We start from the raw sequence: 24,988 nt of genomic DNA on the forward strand, positions 1-24,988 counted from the left end.
GTAGCCTGAACTACCTAACCAGTGATCCCTTGAGGCAGAAGTGGAAACTGCTCCCAGCCTGTAAACATATCTGAAGCTTGTTTTCCAACCAGCTGCTGAAATGCAACTCAACTTCCAAGTTCTAAAAATAAAACTCCTGAGATCAGCCAAATCATACTTTTGGAACTATTGACATATACAAACATTTCTTCTCCTGAAATGCATTCTTGATTCAGCACAAAGAGAGAGGCAAAGAAGAGGAGTGGTTAAAAGATGGAAAGGAAAGGAATTCCCAATTACTGTATACAACAGATAACAAGGAAGAGAAAAATTAAAGGCAAAGTCAGGTTGAACAAGGAAAGGTTCTTTAGCTACAAAGTCAATAAAAGAAAGAAATAATAATATGGATTGTTAACCCTTCACAGAAGGCAAGTTTCAAATCACTTTCAATCAAAATAAAATATTCCTTAATCACTTGAGGATAAAGAGCTTTCAAGGAATACGGTACCATTCGATGTGGAGAACGGATCACAGAATTTCCATTTAATTATCCACTGTTGAATAAGATTTGCTATATTGATGGGAAGTTGAGTTTTTTTTCCTCAACTATTACCTATTAAATTGTAATCTCCAGAGGGCACAAGCTTTGCCCATTTCTTTTCTTGTATCTCCTTTATACACGTTTCTGAAAGATTAAACACTCAATAAATGGTTCATTCAATAATAGTAATCGCTACCATTTCTGAAGACCTGTAATGTACTACATGCTGACTGTTTTTCATAATTCTCTAATTTAATCTTGTTTTAGGGGAATATTATTACCCACAACTTCCTGATGAAAAAAATCAAAGCTTAAGTAACTTGCTCAAGACCACACAGCTAAGTGGCAAAGGCTGGGACTCAAATTGTATGATTTCAAAGTTCTTGTTTCTCTGATGTTGTACATATGTGTTGTGCATATTTACACACATAGGATAAAGTCACGTGGGTGGTTGCTTTATTCTCCAGGATCTCACCATCTTCTTTCATTACTCCATTAAAATTGTCTCTGTAGGCCAAATGACTCCAATAGCTCTTTAAAACCTCTTGTAAAATAAATACCCAAAGAATTTCCACTTTTGATATTTCATTTCTCTCCTTGGAAGATCAGAAAAAAAAACTGGTTGCCCCTACCCCTGCCCACCCACCTATCCTATCCCAGTGGCACAAACAGAGTTTCAGAGATGTGCCCAGTTCTTATAGCTAAATAGTAATGGAGGTAGAATTTGGGTCCCTTGATTTCAGCCCAAGACACACCGAACACAGAGGCATTTTGACAGCCAGTTCATATTTGTTAAGGGTCTATTAGACCCTTAGTATTACTGCAGGGCAACTGAAATCATTCTTGCTCTCATTCTATTATAAAGACATATATGAACGTGTATGTTCATGCAGCACTATTCACAATAACAAAGACATGGAATCAACCCAAATGCCCATCAGTGATAGACTGGATAAAGAAAATGTGGTACATACACACCATGGAATACTATGCAGCTATAAAAAGAAAGAGATCATGTCCTTTGCGGGACATGGATGGAGCTGGAGGCCATTATCCTTAGCAAACTAACACAAAACAGAAAACCAAATACTGCATGTTCTCACTTACAAGTGGAAGCTAAATGATGAGAACACATGGACACATAGAGGGAAACAACACACACTAGGGCCTTCTAGAGGGTGGAGGGTTGGAGGAGGGAGAGGATGAGGAAAAATAACTAATGGGTACTAGGCTTAATACCTGGATGATGAAATAATCTGTACAACAAACCCCCATGACACACGTTTACCTATATAACAAACCTGCACATCCTGCACATGTGGCCCTGAACTTAAACGTTAAAAAAAAAAATCATTCTTGCTCTCATCTAGTTGAAAGGGACAGTTAACATGCATATGTGACTAAGAAATGAACTGTGCAAGTTGATGATACTAATTAACCACAAGCAACAGAATTTCATAGAAGCCACCATCCAATGGCAAAAAGAGCCACAAGACTTAGCTTCAAGTTCAAGTTGTGCCACTGCCCCCACAGCTGTTTTGGTGAAGTCACTTTTTCTTCCTTTTATAAGATGATTAGTTTGGAAATGGAGAATTATGTCTTGTCTCCAACAGTGAAGAGTGGTGTGAGCTTTGACAGTGGAAAATGGGGATATTAATACTACCTCCACTGGACTGCTGTGAGGAGGAAATGAGACAATGCACAAAGGGTACTGGGCGAGGCATCTAGAGGGCTCAACAAATGCTGGCCATCACTATTTGCCATTGAAAGATCATTGCTGATTCTAAAACTGTGTAAAAGGGAATCTTTTGTTGGAGTTTTGTTCCCCAGAAGACCCTAATCTCTTGCTATTTAAGAACCATGACTTTTAAGTTTACCCTTTGTCTTTAAAACATTTTTTTTAAATATCAAAAGCAGCACTGTTATTATAGTATATATACTTAGCTACTGAAGACCAGAGACATCTATCTTGGGTCTGAATAGCCCCTGGTCTTTTTTGATATCTCCAGGTGCTCTCCTTTTACCAATATTTGCATTGGCAACTGTTCCACATCATTACTAATCATTTGACATCAGACTTAAGAATTTCTGACGCTGACAGAAAAGTTCTTCTCCCTCACTATCCTTTCTCAGAAATTACTCATTGTAGTCAAATGTGCCCAAGTCCCTGAAGCATATGTAATAAACCACCAACCAGAATCGGAAGTTCTATCCACCTTCAAACATTTGCTCTAACCTTAGAATGGGATCTTTCTTTTTATTTTTGCAATGCAACTTTTATTTTTCCAAACTACCCAGTACCAGAGGTTTTTCTAACTGGGACATTTGTTAGCCTGAGAAATATAGAAAACAATTGTTGGGTATAAATTCACATCACATTTTCATTTCCTTCACTTCTGCTATTTTCAAAACCTCAGACTTTCCACTGGTAGTACTGCACTCAGTGTGGCTGTCATCCACGCACTAAGCGGGGGATTATCTTTTTTGTCTCTCAGGAACCTCGCTTTTTTATTGCAGATGCAACTCTAATAGGCAGAAGTTGCCACACAATCCAACAGTGAAGATTTAGGAAGGATCCACGTTACAGGGCAGTGAAAGACTGCCTGAGGTGGTGGTCCTACCAGCCCTGCAAAAAGAAATGTGGGAACGAAGCTTAAAACAGCCCTCCCTCCCTACAGTGACAACACAACCTGCTTACAAAGAGCAGCGATAACAAGGTTTCAGCCCAAGATGCCCCAGTCATTCCTCTAATGAATGCAGAGGAACTATCAGCAGCCCAAGACTGTAGACACACAGTATACTGTTCCCCATATTGTTGAATACAAGATGCGTAAGTTATTCAATAATGTATCTGAATAATTACGTGAAAATGAAAATTACATATTAAACTATTCCAACAGGTGCCATTTTAAAATAAAACAGTTTCTGCCTTGCATATGCCTAGAAAATATTGCAATTACTTGTGAGTTAAAGCACGTACACTAGTACAAAAATATACCACCACTGGCACTGAAAACAGGCCATGGCTAAAACCATCCTAGATGTCTAATGATTTAGCATAAAACATATGTGATAGTGTAAGAGATAATCCTACTATGTTTACATCTTGCTTGTGTAAGTCTGTCAGTGGGCAATCACGAAGCAGAAAGGCATTCCCGAATGGTGGGAATCACAGGAAGCAGTAATCTCATCTGGAATTTAATAGTCTTTTTGTGTGTGTGGTTTTGATCATTTTCCTTTTATGAGTGCCGTGTGCACAGACTCTTGATTGTTTCTGCAATGGAAAAAGAAGAGGATGTCCCTCTGAATCCCAATGATCTGCTTTGGCCAAAATCAGACACCAAAGCTGTTAACGGGAAGAACACTTGCAATATAGGAAATCCTATAATGTAACGACCAATGCAATTGGTTAGAAACTCTTAATACACTCCCAAGTTGACAGAAGATGGCAGCTCCCACTGACAACTACACAGCCAAGCCTCTTCATCCATTCTATTTAGACCGAAGGAAAATGAAGAGATATTGAATGGAATATTCTAAAAGTTCTGGGTGGTCAGAGCCATGTGTTTTAGGATGGCCATTTCCATGAGAAAGGTGCGGTTTTGTGGGCAAACTTTTTAACCCTCTTCTCTTCCTACCACCCCCTACATCACACAATTAAGAACCGTGGGTGGGAGAAGATGGATTGCTCATCGCCCTCCCACTCTGTGGCCCTCTTTTGGATGGCATCATCGAACCCAGATGACAAGCTGGGAGGCAAGAGGCTTCCAGCAGCAGCATCTGGCCCTCTGGCAGATGGTCAGGCCCTCGGGTTCCCGGCTTGGGCTCCCTCCAGATGTGTCTCATGCTTGTCCTGTGTGTGAGCTTCCTCCTACCGCTGCAGGAAATTTTTCACGTGAAGACATTTTGAACCAGAAGAATTGGCACGTTCTTATCTAAGAAGATGTTCTTGTGTTTTTCCCTCTGGGGTTATATTTTACAAAGATGCCTGGATCCAAGAGGCATATGTGAATGTATCTTCAAGGCCATCTCCCTGGAGACCTGGGCGGTGGGAGAGGGGAGTGGAGGGTGCAAAACAAATTATACTGTGTCTCCACTCCTCTATCACTTTTTACTACTTTTTCCTTCCTAATGAAATCAAATTTTGATTAACACTAAAGGTAGCTCAGAAGAGGGAAAAATGATAAAAGAACTGTCATCGGAGATGGAGGAGGGCTCTTTCTCTCTAGGCAGTTCTGATTTGGTAACGACATGGGCATGAGGCCCGGAAATTGATAGCATTTGTACAACTCTGTTTTTTTCAACAAGGCAGCTACCACCTGTTTCCCACTGACCCCTAACTACTTCCTTGACTTGCTCCCTAGTCACTGCCTCAGCAGGGAGGATCCCCTGAAGCAGAGAACTAAGACAGCTATTCCCAAATTTTGATGCTAATAACAATGATCATAAAAATATCAACTGCAACAGCAACTGCCATTTATTGGGCACCAGGCGTTACACTAGGTACTTTACAAGCCTCAGTTAATGTAATCCTTACCGCATTCCAAATAAGTCTACCCATTCTACAGAAGAGGAAAGTAAAGTGGAAATAAGTAAGGTCCCGCAGATAGTATTAATAATTAGACTTGAAACGTGGTCTCTCTTATCCCAAAGCCTAAGAGATCTCTTCATTAGTCAATTGGAGAACAGCAAATCCTAGAATCTTTACTCTACAAAAAACCTTAGAGATTATCCAAAGCAACCTTACATATTACTCAAGAATGTCCCTCAGATTCTGTTTATGCTCTTCTTTTGATAATGAACTCACTGCCCTCAAGGCAGTCAGTCTACTCCTGGACTATTGAGCCAGAAGTATCTTCATTAGCCAGAGTTAAAATCATCTTCCTTGTTAACTTCTACCACATGGATGTTATTCTTGCTCTTTGGAATAACATAGAACAATTCTTTCTCTCTCTCATACATCTTATCAGACATTTGAACCTACTTTCTCCATTGGGTTGACAGTAGGATAAATACCATTAGTTCTCTGTAATTGTCCTCATGTTCACCAAGCACCGCTAAAGCTTGCTGTCTGAAAAATTGCCTTAATTATTTATTTAATTTTCCTATTATTTGTCTGCCTTCTCTGGGCTTGAAGTCCATGACAGCAGGGATAGTGTTTGTCTTGTTCTTGGCTACATCCTCAGCTGCCACTCAATGGGTAGTCAACAATAAATGAATGAATATATCTGTGCCTTCTGGTTCATTCATTCCCTCATTCAATCATTTTTTTCATTCTTCATTCAACATCCAACACTATGTGAGCACTATTTTGCAACAGCAAAAGTATTTGGCGATAAGTTCAGTTAGTCAACAAGCATTTTCCATAATAATAATTATAGCTAACATTTATTAAGAGCTTACCAAGAAATATTTGGGGTATATGCTAGGCATATGTTAGTTATATGAAGTAGGTATTCTTTTAACCCCCTTTTTAGAGATATGAAAAGGGAGGTATAGAGAATGCAGTAACTTCCCCCGGTTTACACAGAGAGTGAGTAGTGAAGAGAAGACTCAAAACCAAGTTTTCGGCCTGGTGTGGTGGCTCACGCCTGTAATACCAGCACTTTGGGAAGCCAAGGCAGGTGGATCACTTGAGGCCAGGGGTTCGAGACCAGCCTGACCAACATGGTACAACCCTGTCTCTACTAAAAATACAAAAATTAGCTGGGTTTGGTGGCATGCACCTGTAGTCTCAGCTACTCAGGAGGCTGAGGCAGGAGAATCACTTGAACCAGGGGGGCGGAGGTTGCAGTGAGCCAAGATTGCAACACTGCACTCCAGCCTGGGCACGACAGAGCAAGACTCCATCTCAAAAAACAAAAAAACAAAACAGAAGTTTTCTGATGCTCCTAACTTGACAGTATACTGCTTCCCATCTACTGAGAGTAAGAAGTGCTTGTTTATGTATTTTTTTACTGCTGTCGAGAAGGAGAGGAAATTCTTAGGAAGCTAATAACAATGTCTCCCATGAGGCTGTAGAGACACAACCACACAATGCAATCAAAACTCCACCCTCAAAATAATTACCTATCAATTACTGAGCAAGAGTATTGATGAAACTCCATGCCCAAGTCACAAGCTGACTTGATTCATGGCATGATCAAAGTACGATTAGGCCCAAAAGCCTGCTTCTTTTTCTTTTTTTTTTTTTTCTTCTAGAAATAGGATCTTGCTCTGTGTCCCAGGCTGCAATGCAGTTGCAGTGGTGCAATCATAGCTCACTGCAGCCTTGAACTCAGGGATCAAGCAATCTTCCTGCCTCAGCCTCCCAAGTATCTAGGACTACAGGCATGCACCACCACACCTGAATAATTTTATTATTATTATTATTATTATTATCATTATTATTATTATTATTAGAGACAAGGTCTCTCTATGTTGCCCAAGCTGGTCCAAACTCCTGGTCTCAAGGGATCCTCCCATATCAGCCTCTCAAAGTGCTGAGATTACAGGTGTGAGCCACAGAGCCCAGCCCAAAAGGCTTCTCGTATGGGGACAACAGATTTCAGCATGGTGGCCAAGGACACAAAGCTGTGGATAGAAAAGAGCAGGCAAGGGTTCTAACTGGGGGTGTCCAATCCAAGCCCAGAGACAGGAAAGGTTCTTTGACAGGTGCGGTTAGAGACTTTGCTGGGTAGAGCCAAAGGACGGCTCTGGGGAAAGTGGAGAAGGGAAAGCTGGAAAGTTAAGAACAACATCTAGCAGGCACAAAAGATTTTCCTTAAAGTAGATCTTGTAAACTAAAATAACTAAGACCTTCAGTTCACGAAACTTTGGAGGACAAATTAGCACTGCCATTAGGTTGAGACTCCAGTATAAAGGGGGAAAAATTCTGCAAGGCTTTGGCTGTCAATGAGGGGAGAGCTCTTCAGCGAAGAAGCCTGTCGCATTGGATTGTGATTATAATCCACAAAGCTCCCCTTCCCCGGGTCAGCTCATTCATTTATAAATAAGAAGATTACTCACTGCCTACATGCATAAACAGCTTTCTGCATCATTCTTGGGGTATTTTCCATAAATGTTTTCTGCATGCCCCTTTTTTTCTTTTTCTCTTCAAATGCTCACCGTGTCTGGGTCAGGAACGTGCCCTTATCAGCCAACTTCAATTAATAGTTCCAAATCAGGTCAGCAATGGCCCCTCTCTTCTCTCTGGCTTCTCCTAAGGGAAGTCCCTTGATTAGGGGTTACAGAAGGCACCAGCAGTGGGGTGCCCTCATGCTCTGTCCTCCTGTCAAGAGCCTGGCAGACAATGGGCAGGTCTTAGGCTGTTAACTTCTGTTTGGAAGGTAGATTTCTTTATCTGCTATGTTCTTTTTCACTTAAAAAAAAAACGCAGTCTGCTAATCCAGCCATTGGTGGTGGCTGATTAATTTTCAAAGTGAATTCAGTTTTAGCCACTTCTACAAATAGACACTTTATTGAGTTGAAGAGTCAAGAAGGGATTGCTATTTAATTGTATTTGATCCAAAGACAATCAGTGGCTTTACTATCTCACCTCTCTGTATTCTCTAATTATGAGCAATATTCCTTCTCCTTGTGTTGACAGAGCACTTTACAATTTTCCACACTCTTCTGCTTATATTCCTGAGGTAATCCTTCCCCACCCCGTGAGGTAAAGTGGGCAGGTACTATCATGTCCACTTGATACAAGGAGAAGTAGAGGCTCAGAGTAAAAGACCCGGTAATCTAGGGGGTGGAGGGTACAAAACACTTGATCCAGCAAGAAGTAGAGGCTCAGGGTAAAAGACAAGAAGGAGTGGGGAGCTGCAAAACCAAACCCAAGGCCCTGACTCCAATTCACATTACTTCCTGTGGTGCCACACCACCAAAGCAAGGGGAAGGAATGCTTGAGTGGTGCCTCAGAGCTCACAGAGCCAATCTGAGTTCAAATTCTGCCTGTGCCTTCTGGAGCCTCAATTTCCACATCTATAAAACAGAGAAGAAATAGTACCTACTCACAGTGCCTGCTTGAGAGGGGGACCTGAAGATCCAATGAGTTGATGCACCTGGAGCTTAGGACAGATCCCAGCAGACAGCAAGTTCCCAGCCACGTGTGCTGCCACCTTTGCCTCTGCCTCAGGACTAAATGCCATTCATTACAGCCTACTTGTTTTCTTGTGTTGCAAGCCCAAAACTTCAAAGCACAATTCACAAACTCTAAGCCCATGACCTTTGTTTTATTTGGGATACAGAGCCTTTCTGGTTTTATTGTCAGCATTTACTAATTGGGAGCATTCACTGAAACATCAAGATATCCCACATTTTGTGAAAATAAAACATCCAGCAATACTAGGTCCACATTCCTGCATAGCAGCTATTAGTTGGGAACCGAAATTAGAAAGGAACTGAATTTGACTTTTTTCGAAAGGTAATATCCATTTATGGGCCCATTTCTAAAGGCCCACTGAGTCTACCTTTACCCCTCTCTCCCTACAGAACCGCCTTCCTCTTATGGTAAAGCTGGGACCTGGTATATTGGTGACTTCCCCTTTATACAAGGCACATGCTCGCCGGTCTGCCCCAGTCCCCACCACTCCCTAATACATTTCTCAAATCTCACCTCCTCGGTTCATTTATATTACTGCCTGCTCAGGTGGCATTTCAATTTGTTATTCTCCAGCATTAAGACAACAATGTGCCCTACTACAAGAAGTGTGTTGTAACATCTTCTAGAGCCAGCTGAATGACTTTAAAGAAGGCACTTGCTGGCACTGTGAATTCTCATATTATTCACATCTCACAGCATTCTGTTTATCATCCCAGCTTCTCACAGGCAAATCTGCACCCAGGGAAGAAATACATTCAGCACATTTTGCTAGCAGAAAACTTTAACTGGAATAAGCTCAAGCGAAATGAGGATTATAGAGTTAGGCTAAGAGTGATAGCTTTAACTTTCTGCAAAAACCTCCCCCATTTGCACCTATTCACATAAACATTGCTGCCGTGTAACTCCCAACCATCCTCAAAATGTATTTTGTTACTTGGTAATCAAATTTGCTTATGCCATAAAATGCCCTAGCTCCTATGTGAATGTATTTTTTTTAAGCCGGAATTGAGGAATATTGACCATTATTGGGAAATTAAAGGGCCTTGCACTCTCTTGATCATGAGATGAGTTTATTAAAGAGGCAGTTTGTTCTCAAGTCTGGACAGTGGCATTTTGGCATTGCGATAGCACTGGATGAGGATTAAGTCATTTCTCAGCTTTCCTTGGCAGAGTCTTTTATTATTTACAGTATTTACTTCAGGGAAATCTTGGCGTGTGTCATATTTATCTTACTGAAAAATGGGCCCATAAATGCATATTACCTTTCGAACAAAGCCAAATGTTTTGGTACTAATTTGGTTCATGAAGTATGTAATTCAGTTCCTTTGCACAGGAGCAACATTTGTCTTCTGCTTTTATTAAACTACCATAAACCATTTTTTCTTGCTCATTATTGAAATATGCATCACCGAAGCTGGGGCAAAGGAGATTTAATGACTAAAGTTCTAAAGGCAACCCAGTGACACCACTCTGTTCTGCTGCTTGCCACCAGAAAAATTAAGAAAATAGGGGACCTGTAAGGAAAGCCTTGCCCTGGCCCCACTTAGTGGGTAGCAGGAGGGATACAAGGGAATGGAGGAGGGAGCAAAATAAAGCAGTCATTTGTATGAGATTATTTCCATGAAACACATGCCTTCGTTAACAGGAGTTATTTATAAATAGCTGCTCATTTATTTTTCATTTCAATCACGTATGCTTTTAGTCTCTTTGAGGTCAGCAGCAGAGAAATGTTGCCACCAATATACCTAGGTCCCAGCTTTACCATGAGGGGAAGGTGGTTCGATAGGGAAAGAGGGATAAAGGTAGACTCAATATATCACACACCTCCCCTCAAAGCTTCTCTCTTTGCCAGTATGAGTGTTGTCTTGTGTTCATTCTCTACAAGAATGTTGTAAGTGACAGTTTCACTATCCCACCTATAACAGATCACTTGCTTGGAAGTAGGCTGCCTGTCTTTCCTTACCCTGGCAATGCAGAAAAAAAAAAAAAAAAAAGCAAAGAGACTCCAGGTAAAATGAATGAGACATTTCGGAACCAATCATACATACAAAAAAAGCATCCTTTTTCCAGGCAAACCATTCTATACAAAAACAACTCAAAATTCAGTTTAATGAGATGTAACAACAAAAAGGTGCTGTCACTTACCTGAACATGCTCAGTGTTTATTATGTGTGGAGAAGGAACAGGCAGGTGCAGGGGAGGAGGAGGAATAGCTTACACACGTCTCATACTCACCACGAAGCAGAGGCTGTGCTCTGTACTTGGTCTTACTGAATTTTGACACCACCTCTGTGAGGCAGGTACTATTATTATTCCCATTTTACACATGATGATAATGGAAAAAGATGACAGAGATATTGAGTAACTTGCCCAACCTCACAGAGCCAGGAAGGAGTAGAGTCTGGGTTTATACCACAGAACAATTTGCTCTTTGGTTCTATTGCATTTAGCTCTTGATTGAATTCTATCTTGAAATGTTTACTAGCGCACTGTGAAAAATTCAAAGAAATGGAGGAGACACAGTCCCTGCTCTCACATCCTTTATTGTTGACCAGGGAGATAAGATGTACATATATGATGCTGACTAATTTCAAATAGAAGTTGAGTTCACTTTTGTCCCACATAACTCTGTAACCTCCTTACGAAGAGGGGTTCATTTACTCAGAAAATATTGATGAGCACCTATGTGCCCAGATAGTCTAGGACTGGGGGACATCCTGGGGTTGGAACTCAGTTCTAAAACCAGGAAAGTCCCCAGGCAAATCAGGGAAGTTGGTCAGACTAAAAGTAATTATGGCTAGATACTGGGAGTATGATAGTTTCTGAAACAGACATCATCTCTGCCTTCACGCAGCAGTCACTCTAATGGGGACCCAGACAGAAAAACAGTGGAGCGAAGGTGACAAGGAGGGAAGTATTGTGCACAGCAATACCACATACTCACAGGGTGGCATTAGTATGGTGTTCTTAGCTCTAAAAAGCCACCAAAACAAATAAAATCAGAAACAAAGTTTTTTCAAATAATTGAAAACCTACATTTATGGATGAGGTGGAAAAAAGATAAGGCCAAAATTACACCCATGGCTTGCAAATCTGAGAAAATAGGTGTGTATCTTAGCATATTGCTAGATACCCAATTAACATCTAGGGTAATTCTATAACACATTAACTCATCACTGAGATGCCCCATATAAAACCACGTTAAGCTGGAAAAGCAAAACTTTCAGTTTGGGATGTTAATATGTTACCAAAACCTTCCTATTCTCATGGGTGTCCTGGTCCCATGAAATGAATTCCTGAGTTATCAGTTTCATTTGTTATTTTAAATGAATAAGAACAGAATCAGTTCTCCTCTTTCACTACTATCACCACCCAAAACATGTATCTTTGAAGCAATTATTACATTACAGTAGCAATTAATGTCAACAATATAAAAAAAAAACAAATGCTCAAAGGTGTAACCAACCAAAACCAGCACAATCATTCCCTGCATTAGTGTTCTCTCTTTTGTTCTCAGCGCATTTATCAAGTATGCAGTAGCTTCTAGAAATCACTTCAATGAAAACTGCTCCCGACACCACTACAATGAGTTAAGTAATCGAGAAATTAGAAGCTGTGTTGACTTTTCAGAAGTGTAACTAATAGCTGTAGAAAAAGGAGTCCAAAAAAAATTAACCAAATGAGATGCTAATCTTCTCCCCAACACCCCACCACCGAGTTTTGGCAGACAAAAATTACTGAGCTGGAGTTTGGCAACTGATGAGCAAGGCATAAATCCTGAAAAGACTTGTCAGTCGAAAGAAACTTTGTGGCTCCTCTCACTATATCCTCATCTTTACTTAAAATACACAGTACCTGCTGTGCTTGACAATTATTTCCCAAACTGTTGGGGAGGGTGTACACACCCATACATGCATTTTTTATCTTTGTGCACAAACTAAATATCTTTGTATACCTTGTCCACATCATCTCTATGTATGTCTACATAGATTTGCACATATCTTTGTTCACAAAAGGTATTGCCACAGATAAATTAACTTAACATGATATCTTGGCTGAGGGGTGTCAATAAGTTGTTATAATTTTTGTTTGTGCTAACAAATCCCTAGGTAAACCCTCATCTTTTTCCTTTCCCATCTTAGCAAGCTCCTTTGCAAGCAAGGCTCCCATTAACTCCAATCAAGCTTTTTTTCCAGGCCCCTTAAATTAACCACTCTAGGTTTTAGAATAAGGAAACAGCCTCGTCACAATGCATCATGTATTCTGATCAAGTGTGTATTGTTACTTCCACCCTGACAGTTCCCAACCTCATTTTAAATATGGCCAAGAGGCCTCAAGAAATGTAGATTTATAATGGAGGAGATGCGTTTGCACCTCCAAACACAAATTATGTTAATTGGGTGTTCCAACTGGAGCCAGGAAGAGGTGGCGTGATTATTCTCTGGAAACCTCGGTGATTGGCAGCCAACTCATACTGAGAACCAGGACGGGTTGGCTCTTTGGAGCCATGCAGAGCACATGCCTTCCTCCCCTTGAATAAAGGCTGCTCCACACTCTACCTGTCCAGCCGGGCTGTGGTCAAGCTGCTCCGCTTGCCATGCATCAATGCCACTTTGTTCAGACCGACTGGCTCTCAACAGTGCCCCTCCTGCCGTCTGTATTATTTAAAGGAGATTTATGGTTGGGTGTCTTGTGTTGTGAAACACAAGCTGTGACCCCCGGGCTGGGAAGCCAGCAGGGAAAAACATTAATATAACGGCACATGGGAAAATGAAACTCATGGGCAGCAGAAAAAAAAAAAAGAAAACAGAAAGAAAAAGAAAGAAAGAACAGAAATGTGAGATGTGAAATGCACGAAGGTGTTACAAACTGCACTGAGTGTTTGCATTCCTTCTCTGGTGGAACGGCAACATATACTCAGGTTAGGATGGTGGTGCTGGTGGTTTTTGTTGGTTTGTCTGTTTGGATTTTGGTGGGGGTTTTTTGGAGAGGGGTTCTGTTTGGCTGGTTTGGTTTGGTTTGGTTTAGAAGACACAGAAACAAATGCCAAACAATAAGGGCTTATGTTTAAAAATAACCCATGTTAACTAGAGGACCAAGAACCCTGGTCGCATATTAAAGAGGACCAGATAATTGTGTCACCATTAGGATCATTTGAAGTTATACATACTTAATTAAGGGGAATCAAAACTCATGCTGCCAGGCATGACTGATCATTGGTTGGCTCAGGAAGAATTTACCCCTCTTCTAACAGAACACTCTCCAAGACAGGGGCACTGGCCATTATGAGAGTTCTTACAGTTACAGATCAGGTCAAGAAGGAGGGGAGGCCGGGTGCGGTGGCTGACACCTGTAATCCCAGCACTTTGGGAGGCCGAGGCGGGAGGATCACAAGGTCAGGAGATCGAGACCATCCTGGCCAACATAGTAAAACCCTGTCTCTACTAAACATACAAAAATTAGCTGGACGTGGTGGCACAGGCCTTTAATCCCAGCTATTCAGGAGGCTGAGGCAGGAGAATCACTCGAACCAGGGAGGCAGAGGTTGAACCAGGGAAGCAGAGGTTGCAGTGAGCCGAGATTGCACCACTGCACTCCAGCCTGGTGACAGAACGAGACTCTGTCTATAAAAAAAAAAAAAAAAAAAAAAAAAAAAAATGCAGGGGAAAGAACAGAGCTGGAACTAGAAGAGCAGATTTTAGCATTTTTAATACAATCAGATGTATTATTTCCTAATTTCCCAACTGCATACATTTGAAATGAAGAGACATTGTCATCCTCATTGAGCTATGGAATTTGTCTGACATTTTTGTTACTGACTCCAATGCTAGCCAAAAATGATTTATTTGTCCTCTGGTCCTCAGTGTCCCAATCTGTAAAATGGAAACTCACTGTTCCTATCAGAAACAGGGTGGCCACCCACCAAGCTGTGGTTCTTCCAAGGATGAAAAAGATGGTACCAGAATCAAATTATTAAAATGCCCTTCTCACAAAAGCATAACTTTCTGTTAATATTTCCCTTAGAGAAAGGCACATTCAATTTCCATTAATGGTACTTAGAAATTCGTGGAAGTAAACCAGCATATGGATATGCTGAAGAAGGTGGGTCACCATTAAATCCTAAACACACCTCTATCTTTGAAAATGTTTCAGAGAACTGTGAGATTCAATTACTTTGGTGAAATTAGATCCTATACTAAAGAACCAGTATGTTGAATCTCTGTAGCAAAGATGATTTTTTTAAACTACATATTTTATGTAGATGTGATTTTCTTTGCTCAATAAAAAATTAATTGATGTATGCCCTCAGACTAATCTCAGAAATACCTAGTAATTTTTTCCCCAATCTTTAAGTATTTCTCAGAACAAATAGGTTTTATGGTTTATGGAAAAACCTGGAGATTGTGAGCCCTGTCTTCTCCAGATGTACACAATAATTGGTGCAGGATCTTGGAAAGTATTAGGACACCCCTTAAACAAAGGCTGGCTGAAGCCTGTTGCAGTGATTCAATAGGAAATTATAAAGTCCAGTTTGTGGCCCCAAAGGGAAACACTGCTGTCCTTGAGTAGTCCACAAAACTCTATTTCCAATTAGCACCTGCTGATTCAGTGTTTCACATTCACAAGAAAAATAAATCCCCTATATTTTAAAGCAGTGTGTGTATGCCTTGCAGGGGAGCAAGGCAGTCAGGGGAGAGTACCGAGAGCCCAGCAGAGAGAATTTCCTTCCCCATGTACCATAGTCTCCTTTCTATCTCTTCAGTCATGGAACACACTTCTGAAATTGCAGCAGCTACTAGAAAACTTCCCTCAACGAGTCGCCTATCTGAACAGGGAACCTCTGCAAATCTCCTTCCTTTCATGAAATCGCTGAATACTAAAACTAAATGTAACACCCATTTTGTACAAAATGCTTAGACCTTCTTCAGCGTACTCTTTCAACATTCAAGGCTTGCTCATTTACCTCTGTGAGCTTTATGACTAACTCAGTATCACTAACTACAGCTGTCAGCCCTCAGAGGTCAGAGACATGACTGTTTACTTCTATCACTAACCAGCCTGGCTGGTTACAGCTAGCTACACTAGCTACAAAGAGACAATTAACAAAAAATGTCTCATGAGGATAGAGGGGTTTTTTTTTAGTTTTGTTTTGTTTTTAATCATCTATCATCCTCAGGGTGGAGAGGGGAAGAAATGAAGACCCATTTTTCTTTTCCATCTCATCTAAAGCCAAGCTATAATCCATTACCACTGCAAACAGACAACAGGGCATTTTCTGCTACGACAGCATACAGTAGGAACAAATCATAACATAATAATCATCATCTCTTAAAAGCCTTACTCACCCCATTTCACCTTGCCCTGGAATGGGATTCCTTGAGTAGGAGAGTATACCCACCACTCCTGTTATGATCCTTGGCTAGAACCACTGTGAGCTGAGAATCTCAGCACCCACTCCACATGCCCTACTTGGCAGCTAAAATGTAACTATTAAGTCACACTAACATTAGATTAGATGATGCTGTCATCCCATTGTTATCCAATTTATTCTTCTCTGACATGGTATGAAGTGGTTCTGCATCAATAATGATTCATAAATACAGCCATACCTGATCTCTATCACCATTTCCATGTGCTTTCACAGACAAGAAACTGCTCTCTCTTCCATTTCTCCAAGTTCATTTCTTTAGTGGGTGAGTAATGACAGTTTCACCTCCAGAGTCTATTTAACTATAAAGAACATTCACAGAATGACCTAGATATTTGGTTGATAAGCACCTGCTATTGACTCAGGGCTCATCTAAGTAGTGTGGGCTGCACATGTCTTAGGAGAGTAAGGGCCCTTCCTCATGGATCCTCCTGGTGGACACAAAGATTCCCATTTCTGCACAAACATTGCAAATTTCACATAGCCATTAGTTTCACCTACGGATCCCAGGGACTTACCCACCAAAGTTCAAGTTCCAGAATGTAGTGGATGCTTAGAATTCCTATAATCCAGAGCTTTGCCCAATTTAAAATGGAGTGATATGCATAGGTGCAGTCTTGAACTACTTTCTAATTACTTCTTGTGCAAGCCTCTTAATTCCTAAGAGTACTGTATCTTGGAGAGCACTTAACATACGGTGTACCCGTCCCTTCTAAATTTGCTGGATCATAAAAATCACCTGAGAATATTTAAGAATACAGATTCTCAAGCCTCACCCCAGGCCTACTGAACTAGAATCCCTTGGTACAAGGGCCTGGAGATGTGTATTTTAACTACTCTCAGGCGATTCTGACGAACAGGAGAATTTGGAAAACAGATGGGTCTCAGAGGATCTTCACAACAACTCCATGAAGAAGATAGGGCAAATGTTAGCTCCACTTTGCAGATATAATAAATGGGGCTCAGAGAGGTTAGTTCCCTCCACTATGCCTAATTCCACCTCATTAGCTCTGTGCCATGTTTTATACATCACTTGTATTCCTGTCCTTCCTACTCTCTATCAGCCTCAAGAAAAAAAAAGATGTAGCACATGAAAAAGGTTCTAGTAGTTATTCTTGCAGGTAGTATAGATGCTGACCGCAAAGGCAATTCCTGAGATATTGTCCTCAACATTTCCAGAGGATGCCTGCCTATCCAGGACCACCTTCTATTCCTGGCATCACTTTTGGTGCACATTCTGATATAATCAACATCCATTCAAGAGGGCCTTTTTCTGCAGAGGAATTCATCACCAGAAATACTGCACATGAGGATATAATATACAAAATATCTGTACAATACAGCTTCTTAAGCAATTATCCTGTACCGCTGGGTCACATTATGCAACTTAATATTTCCCATAACAAAAATAGAGTTCTGGGATTTTTAAAATGCGTATGTTGTTAAGTTTTACTTTAATCATTTGTGGCATTCTTTTATATTACTTTACTATTGCATGTCAAAGTAATCAGTGAAATTAAATTTTTTAAAACTTGCATTGAAAATTAACTCACATCAGAAATAGGATTAAGACCAGGGCTTCATGGTTCTAAAGCTGAACTAAGTGGAGGAAAAGACGTTCCACAGGGGGACATTTCACTTGACTTAACACACGTCAGTGGGCTTGAATGATTTCTGAGAATTTTCCATCAGTGTTTTCAGAAATAGCCTTTGGTGGTCTGCTTTCTCGATCCTAGTGATTCCAGCAGAAATGGCTGTACCCCAAAAAGGAGAAAGCTGGGTACTGCATGCTCCCACTGAGATTTGGGGAGAGGTTGTGTAAACAACTGAAGCATTAACTGGACTCTGCACCAGTTGTGATTTATGTATTGCTTGGGAGGAGGGAGGGCAGTGGAAAGGGCCCTCGGTATGGGTTTGGCAAGGCAGGGAGCAGGCCCTCCATCTCTGCCTCTCGGACACCTACCAAGGATACAGTGCCTATTCAGAATTCGAGTTCGTGGAGGCTTTTCAATCAATAACATATGGCCATGAGAGCGCGAGTATTATACCAACAGACTGAAATAAATATGCTCCGCAAATAAAATATCTGTACGTAAAACAACAAAGGCTTTAGTTTAACTGCAGAAAATGAAAAACAAGTCTACTTGAAACCAGGTTAAATGAGCAACCAGTTATTCAGTGTGAGTTTTTGGAGATGAATGAGCTGGCAGATGCTTTCTTCAGATCATTAAGACCAGATATCAATAATTTCTGAGGAGTAGAGGCAAAAGTCATCAGAAACAACCTGATGTGGTGGGGCCACACCCTGTCTTTCTCCACTTGGCCTGGTGTAGGGAGAGCTGGGACACACCAGCTGTTTAAAAAGCCAAGTGGCTCCTACCACACCAGCTTGTTAACCTTCATCTTACATGCATTTTTTTTCCTCCCAGATTCATGATCTCAGATTAGGTAGGTGGTGGGGGCAGTGCTAAATATACCTTCCTGTTACCCGAGACCTGGATCAGGGAAGGTGCTTATTAATATCATGGAGATATGATTTTTAATGATCTCTGAAAACAGCCTATATGGGTGTGAATAATGGCACTGTCTCATTGCATGCGTGGTTTGTGCTTTTGTCTCAGACAGGTTCATTTTTCACTGGAGGGGAAAGGTTCATGCCGCACGAGGGGGGTAACCAGTTGATGTTACAAGGCTGACTATTAGGCCCCTTGCTGTTCCACATGTCACAGGGAAGGACTCCAGCCGGCAACCTTAATGCCTACTTCAGCATCTTGAAGAAATTAATGAACACAGCTTCTATGGCAAAACATTTCAATCAACCCTTACCAGCTGTGCCTACATTTAAGAAAAAGAAAAGGAGGGGGGGAAATGCCCAGGTTTATCAAAAAAGTTTCTTCGAAAGATCAACCACGGTTTTGGCTGTGTGTGGGGCGGTAGGAGGTGGGGAAAGGAAAGGCAGAAGGAATAAAGGTAGAAGGATGCCAGTACCGAGTGCCAAAAGATGTGCTCTGGCCCCGGTGTTTGTTGAACAAATTAAGCACGTTCTGGTTTTTCACCTGCTGAAGTAGCAGCAGTGCATATGGCCTAGAAGTTAAAAATAAGGAAATATGCATACATTACCATACTTAATGGACGACCCTCTCCATTTAATATGCAAATTTCCTGAAATATTACTGAATGCCGTCTGTTCTAAATGAATAAATTTGAATTGCAATTAGAATAATCCTTTATAATTAATGAAAACTGTCAATTTTAGTTCATAAGTAATTTGATTAACAGGATGATGGGACACTTATCAAGTTCACTGGACTGCTAGGCTATGAGAAAACTGACAGTGAAAATGGGGCGGGCCAGGCACTCAGGCTCTACCGGAGTATTATCCTAAATTATTGATAACACAAGCTAATGAACTTCAGAAAGTGAACTCTGGGGGCCTCATTTAAAGGGACAGCCTCGGAGGGCGATGGGCAGCCACCGGGATGATGATCTTTCCAAAAGCCTTCTTTGCTGGTACTTTTGGATTGTAGGAAAATAAATGTTTAGAAATGCCAGGGCAAAGGAAAACATTGGCTCAAAACACAAATTTACCATTTCCAGCTGTTGCTGGAACAAAAGGAAACAATAGTCAGAGGATAAATGTAAGAAGAAACAATGCAAAAACATGTGGAAAGAAGTTGCTGGTAATGCATCACAGAAGTAGGACATGGCCACAGCAGCGGGGCCATCTCCGCTTCCCTTCTTTGTCTCTCCCTTCAGACAGATCATGAACAAGAACTTTTAACTAGCATTAATTGGACATTTATGTAAAGCAATCGGGGTGGGGGGAATTCCGTGGAGACACACAAGCAACTCTTAGTTATGGCACAAACAGTAAGGAGATCTGTGGCCCTTAAAGAAACAGATGCCTGTTGCCTTTTCACGGAGGGAGACAAGGAGGCAGAGAAGGGGGTTAGTGCTACAAGAGAATTCTGGCACTCTTGGTTGTTGTCGTTAATGAAGATGAAGACATAGTAAGTAAAAACAAGAAAAGAAGTTATAAAATAAGCTTGCTTTATCTTTTCTAGAAACGGATGACAAAACTCAATGCAACAATGCCAGGCATATCAAAAGGGGTCCACATTCAAGGCTTTCACACTTTCTGGCAGGTGAGAAAGTTTATTAAGAACCTTCACGTGTGGGAGTCTCTCAAGAGCAAAGGTCTGGTTTTACTGATTCGCAATGTCCTGACAGATCTTGCCTTTTCATGCCTTCAACACCTGTAGCTCCTGACAAGTGTAGGTGACCTCCTGACCGACAAAGGGGGGTCCAAATTTGGCTGATGTTGGCTGAGTAGACTGCAGTCAGGTCATACATAGTTCTTTACTTCTTCTTAATCCTCCTGAACCTACTGAGAAGTGCCTTTATGCCAAGGATGGAAATTATCTGTCCAAAGACTTCTTGTCCTTGAAACCTTAGTCAGGATTCATGTGGCAGGACAAGTGACCCTGTCATGGATATCTCAAGATCATTAAGTAATGATCTTTCAAGATTAATATTAGTCATAAGAATGCAGCATTACAGAGGCACACAATGGGCACTTCTGGGAAAATGGCAGAGTCTTAGCAATCTCCTTTCCATCTCTACGGGCCACCTATATACTACTTATCTCATTGGATTTGATAGAACAAGATAAAATCATCATGTAAAAATAGCATGTACAATTTACTAAGATATTATTCTATATGCCAAACATTGTACAAAGTTCTTTAAGTCATGAAATACTTAAGGTGGCCCTGGAAGTATATATTAGATCCATTTAGTAGGTGAATAAACTAAGGCTCAGAAAGATTAAGTACCTAGTCCAAGCAATCACATCCAGGAAGTGGCAGAGATGGGATTTGAACCCAGGTCTCTCTATCTCTGAAGCCAAAGCTGTTAACCTAATATGTACTCTGGGCTGACTTCCATGTTATAACTGTGTGCTTCAATGCTGGCCAAATTTAATCATGCTATAGTTTCCCTCACTTTTCAATTACATTTTTTATTTCCTTACTCTGGACCACCATGACTGCTAGAATTGTCTGCGTGCATTGTCCAAGCCAGCTCAGCGGGTATACATTTGGAGCCATTGTCTCCCCTTCCATGCAATAAGCAGGTCATAAACATTGTCTTTCCTTCTGCAATGTGTGCCGCAAGCAAGACTTCAGCATCCTCTGCCTCCCACAACGTGTCTCTTGAAAACCATTTATTTAGAGCTCAGTTTTCGAAATATACCAAGGACAGGGTAAGGCTCTTTCCTGGCACTCTTCACTAGTGTCCTGCCTTGCCACTGTCCTAACTAGCCAACTTCAGCCCTGGGAGATCTATAATAAAAACTGTTAGCTCTTTGACACTCAATAAAAGAAACAAACAAGAAACCAATGATGTTCTTAGTTATTAAGCTGCCTATTATACCTAAATAAAATCAAGCAGCTGGTGGCCCTATGTCTCTACAAAATTAATATTGAAAGCTGTCTTTGAACCATTTAGATCCTTCGTACATACTCTCCAAGCCTCCAGTTCCCTCATTCTTTCCAGCAATACAAGCAATTCTTGTCCTCCTTACTCCTTTCATTTGCTTATAACACTCGGAGGATTTCTTTGTTTTTCCCTATAACCTACCCCCATCTGTAAACCTCCAAAGTAATAACAACACAGACCTACCTGGATACCAGCTCCACTGAATGGAGCAGGAGGTCTTTAGAGACCATCCGGCTTGATGTTTCTCAAGGGTCATGTGCAAACCACTGATTTTAGGTATACACACTTGTTAGTGGTTATGTATTTATCTTCATGTGTGTTAGGAAAGAAAAACCGTAAGTGGCACATCAAACTTTTAATTTTAGAGAGCATTGCTTAGCTCAAAACCTAAGTGAATATTTAGCTAAGAAACAGTGAATAGACTTCTTCTATTATAAAGACAAATATGGAGTAAATATTCCAGGTGGTACTCATCTATAGCAAAAGTCACAGCGAGTCTGTGAATGACGGGACATCCAGAAAAACTGATCTAGCCCAAACTCCCTCTTTTTCCTCAAGGGATGCACTGAAGGTCAGGGAAGTTAAATAAGTTTCCTGAGGCCATGCAGCAAAGAGGAAAGGCTGGAGCTAGAACTCAGATATCCCATGAGGTCATCTTTCCTGTCACAGGGACCCAGGCCTTCATCGTGGGTCCCTTTGGGAAGAAAGGGGGATGTGTACTCTAGGAACACTGCCCAGAACACTGAGGCCATTGAAGACAGAAGAGAGAGAGAAGGCAAGTGGCAGGGCTCCCTAGGCCTCACTCTCCTTCAGCCAGGGCAGCTTTTCTTGGGAGAGGTTTTATTTGCAGGCTTTCTCTATTTCATTTGAAAGAAGAATTTTATGGCGATTTTGTTTAAAGAATTCCACTGATACTAGCAATGATTAAAAAGCCCTCAAACTACTGGAAACTCTTTCAGTCTTCTTGTATTTTGCAACCTTGCTTATGGTGAAGGAAGTTGGTCTCCATCAGCATCATCTAGCTTCTCCCAAAACATGGCTTAAGGGCCATTTATACTAGCATCTCCTGGGTTGGGGAGGAGGGTTCTGTTAAAAGGCAGAATCCTCAGGCTCACCCAACTTTATAGAAACAGACTCTTGACATCAACTCTAATGAGGTGCACTTTTAACTAGTTTCTTAGGTGATTTCTCTGTGAGCTAAGGCTTGAGAACTGATACTGGGGAAGAATGGATTACCATTAGTGTTACGAGACAGAGAATTAGTAAGAGATAAAGAGATTGAGACTAAGACAGAAAGACTGAGAAACTGAGATTTAATAATTTACTGATCCCTCAGTGGAACACTGTGTGTATAGTTAAGCCACTTTATGATAAGGTTATCTGAGGGCTCATGTAACTAAACCCACCTCTCACCCATCTCTCTCCACTCCCCACACTTACCCTTACTTTACATTGGTTCATCTCTGGAGAGAATGGACTAACACTGAAGTTATTATTTATTTACCAAATACTCAGAGCAGCATCCTGTGTGCTGGGCAAGGCATACCAAAATTAGGGCAAGTTACTGTCCAATAGGAAGCTCCGTTCTGGTACAAAGTCAGCCCATGCATTCAGAAATGCATGCTTGCTTTCTTGAAATTTAGGTTAAGGGAGGGCTTATATATAGAAATTAGCTGCTGACAGAGTTTGAATGGGCTTTCAACTAAGGCATTCATTATCCATGAAGCCAACCCTTCCAATATTCCATGGCCTAGAGTTCTTTGCAAATGGCTGTTAAAAATCACATTTGGTGAAAGAACAGAATTTTCTCCTTGGTAATTCAGCTCTGAACTCACTCCATCTGTTTAGCACTTGTTGGGCCTGCGAGGATGTGCAGACACTCTCCAGTGCTGACATGGGTGGCCACCTCCCAAAGAGCAAGAAACAAACCTGCTTTCATCAGCTGCTGGCATTTATGAGGGTCTTAGGATGAAATTAAGATTTTTTTTTTTTTTGAAATGGAAGTTTGGAATAATAACAACCTTGTAGGGGGAACATGGTACTCATGTTGCTTGGGTAACATGTGGTCTAAGTAGCCAGAGGAGAAAATCCCCGGAGAGGGTTATCTCATAGATAACACCAATCATATCTGAGAGGCCAGTGAGAACAATCTTGATGCCTGCAATATTTTAATCTATAACATGGGATGTCACCAAATAATGTGCTGGAAAACAACAGAGAAACATAAAGACACCAAATGAAAAAGCAGATCTCCCTTCAACTTTGAGAATGAGAAGTTACAAATCATCAATGTCTAGCAAAGACATATTCCAACAACGGTGCTCATTTTTTTGAATAAATAAACACCAGGGAACTAGCCTGGGAAACCTGAAACAGAACCACATCTTCTCTCAACTAAAGGCTTATTAACAGCATATGTGGGGACAAAGGATAGGAATATTCTGAGGGCAAGGAGAGTAAAGTTGCATTTATTGATCAAACTCCTACCAAATGCCAAGCACCATATGCATCGATTATCTCATTTAATCCTCTCAAAAAACACGACGGTACATATTATTATCCCAATTTACAGATAGGAATCTGAAGTTTATCAAGATTAAGCAACTTTCCAACTGAACAGGGCTTTAAAGACAGGACTCTAATTTCTAAGCTGTGTTTTTCTGCTATATGCATTGCCCATAGCCCCACAAAAGGACAGAAAGAAAAATCTAGAGGAAAAAAATCAGATCTCTGAAAACTGTCTATAAATTCCCCACAATAAAAATAACAATAACCATGATATCCTAGCACCTCTTTAGGTATATGTGTACATAACTTGCAACATATATATATGAGAAATTACAAATCATCAATATTTAGAAAGATGTATTCCAAAAAAGGTGCTCATTATATACATATGTGTGTGTGTGTGTGTATGTGTGTGTGTATACACACATATGCTTAATGTAATCTTCTTAACAATCCTATCAGGTATCATGATTGAGGTGAGGATGCTGAAGCTGAGTTAGGGACATGCTCAGGTTTACACAGCAACTAAATAACCAAACTGAGATCCAAACCCAGATTTGTCTGGTCCCCAAACCCCTGGACTTCCTATCATATTGTTCTACCTTTTCCATCCCTTTCAACTGGATGTGAAGGTGAACCAGAATCTGAAACTTCAGCTCTAAAGAGGCTGAAAAGAATATGTCGTTCCCTGCCCTCCAATACCTCTGCTTTGTACCTACTGGACACATGGCAGGCCTTGGTGGCCAGTGTCCACAGTAAAAGTTAGTGACTTGAAAGGCATGTGCAGCAGGCAATGCCAAGGGAACTTTTCTTTCTTCTTTTTTTTTTTAAAGAAACACAGTCTTGCTCTGTTGCCCAGCCTGGAGTGCAGTGGTGCAATCATAGCTCACTGCAGCCTGCAACTCCTGGGCTCAAATGATCCTCCCTTCTCAGCCTCCCAAGT

At 41.0% G+C, this 24,988-nt stretch overlaps 1 protein-coding gene across 28 annotated transcripts in view, besides 1 other annotated feature; it reads right to left on the bottom strand.

Annotated features, from left to right (window-relative positions):
* EBF1 (EBF transcription factor 1) overlaps positions 1 to 24,988 on the bottom strand; it is a 403,997-nt gene that overhangs the window by 199,800 nt on the left and 179,209 nt on the right. The gene's annotated exons all lie outside the window — the stretch shown is intronic.
* Positions 18,235 to 19,884: an enhancer, noted in NCBI's record as "VISTA enhancer hs230". NCBI's record gives its function as "enhancer in: neural tube[7/8]" and the evidence as "EXISTENCE:transgenic organism evidence [ECO:0001131][PMID:17130149]".

The sequence above is a fragment of the Homo sapiens genome, chromosome 5, assembly GCF_000001405.40.
Source record: "Homo sapiens chromosome 5, GRCh38.p14 Primary Assembly".
NCBI classification, from domain to species: domain Eukaryota; kingdom Metazoa; phylum Chordata; class Mammalia; order Primates; family Hominidae; genus Homo; species Homo sapiens.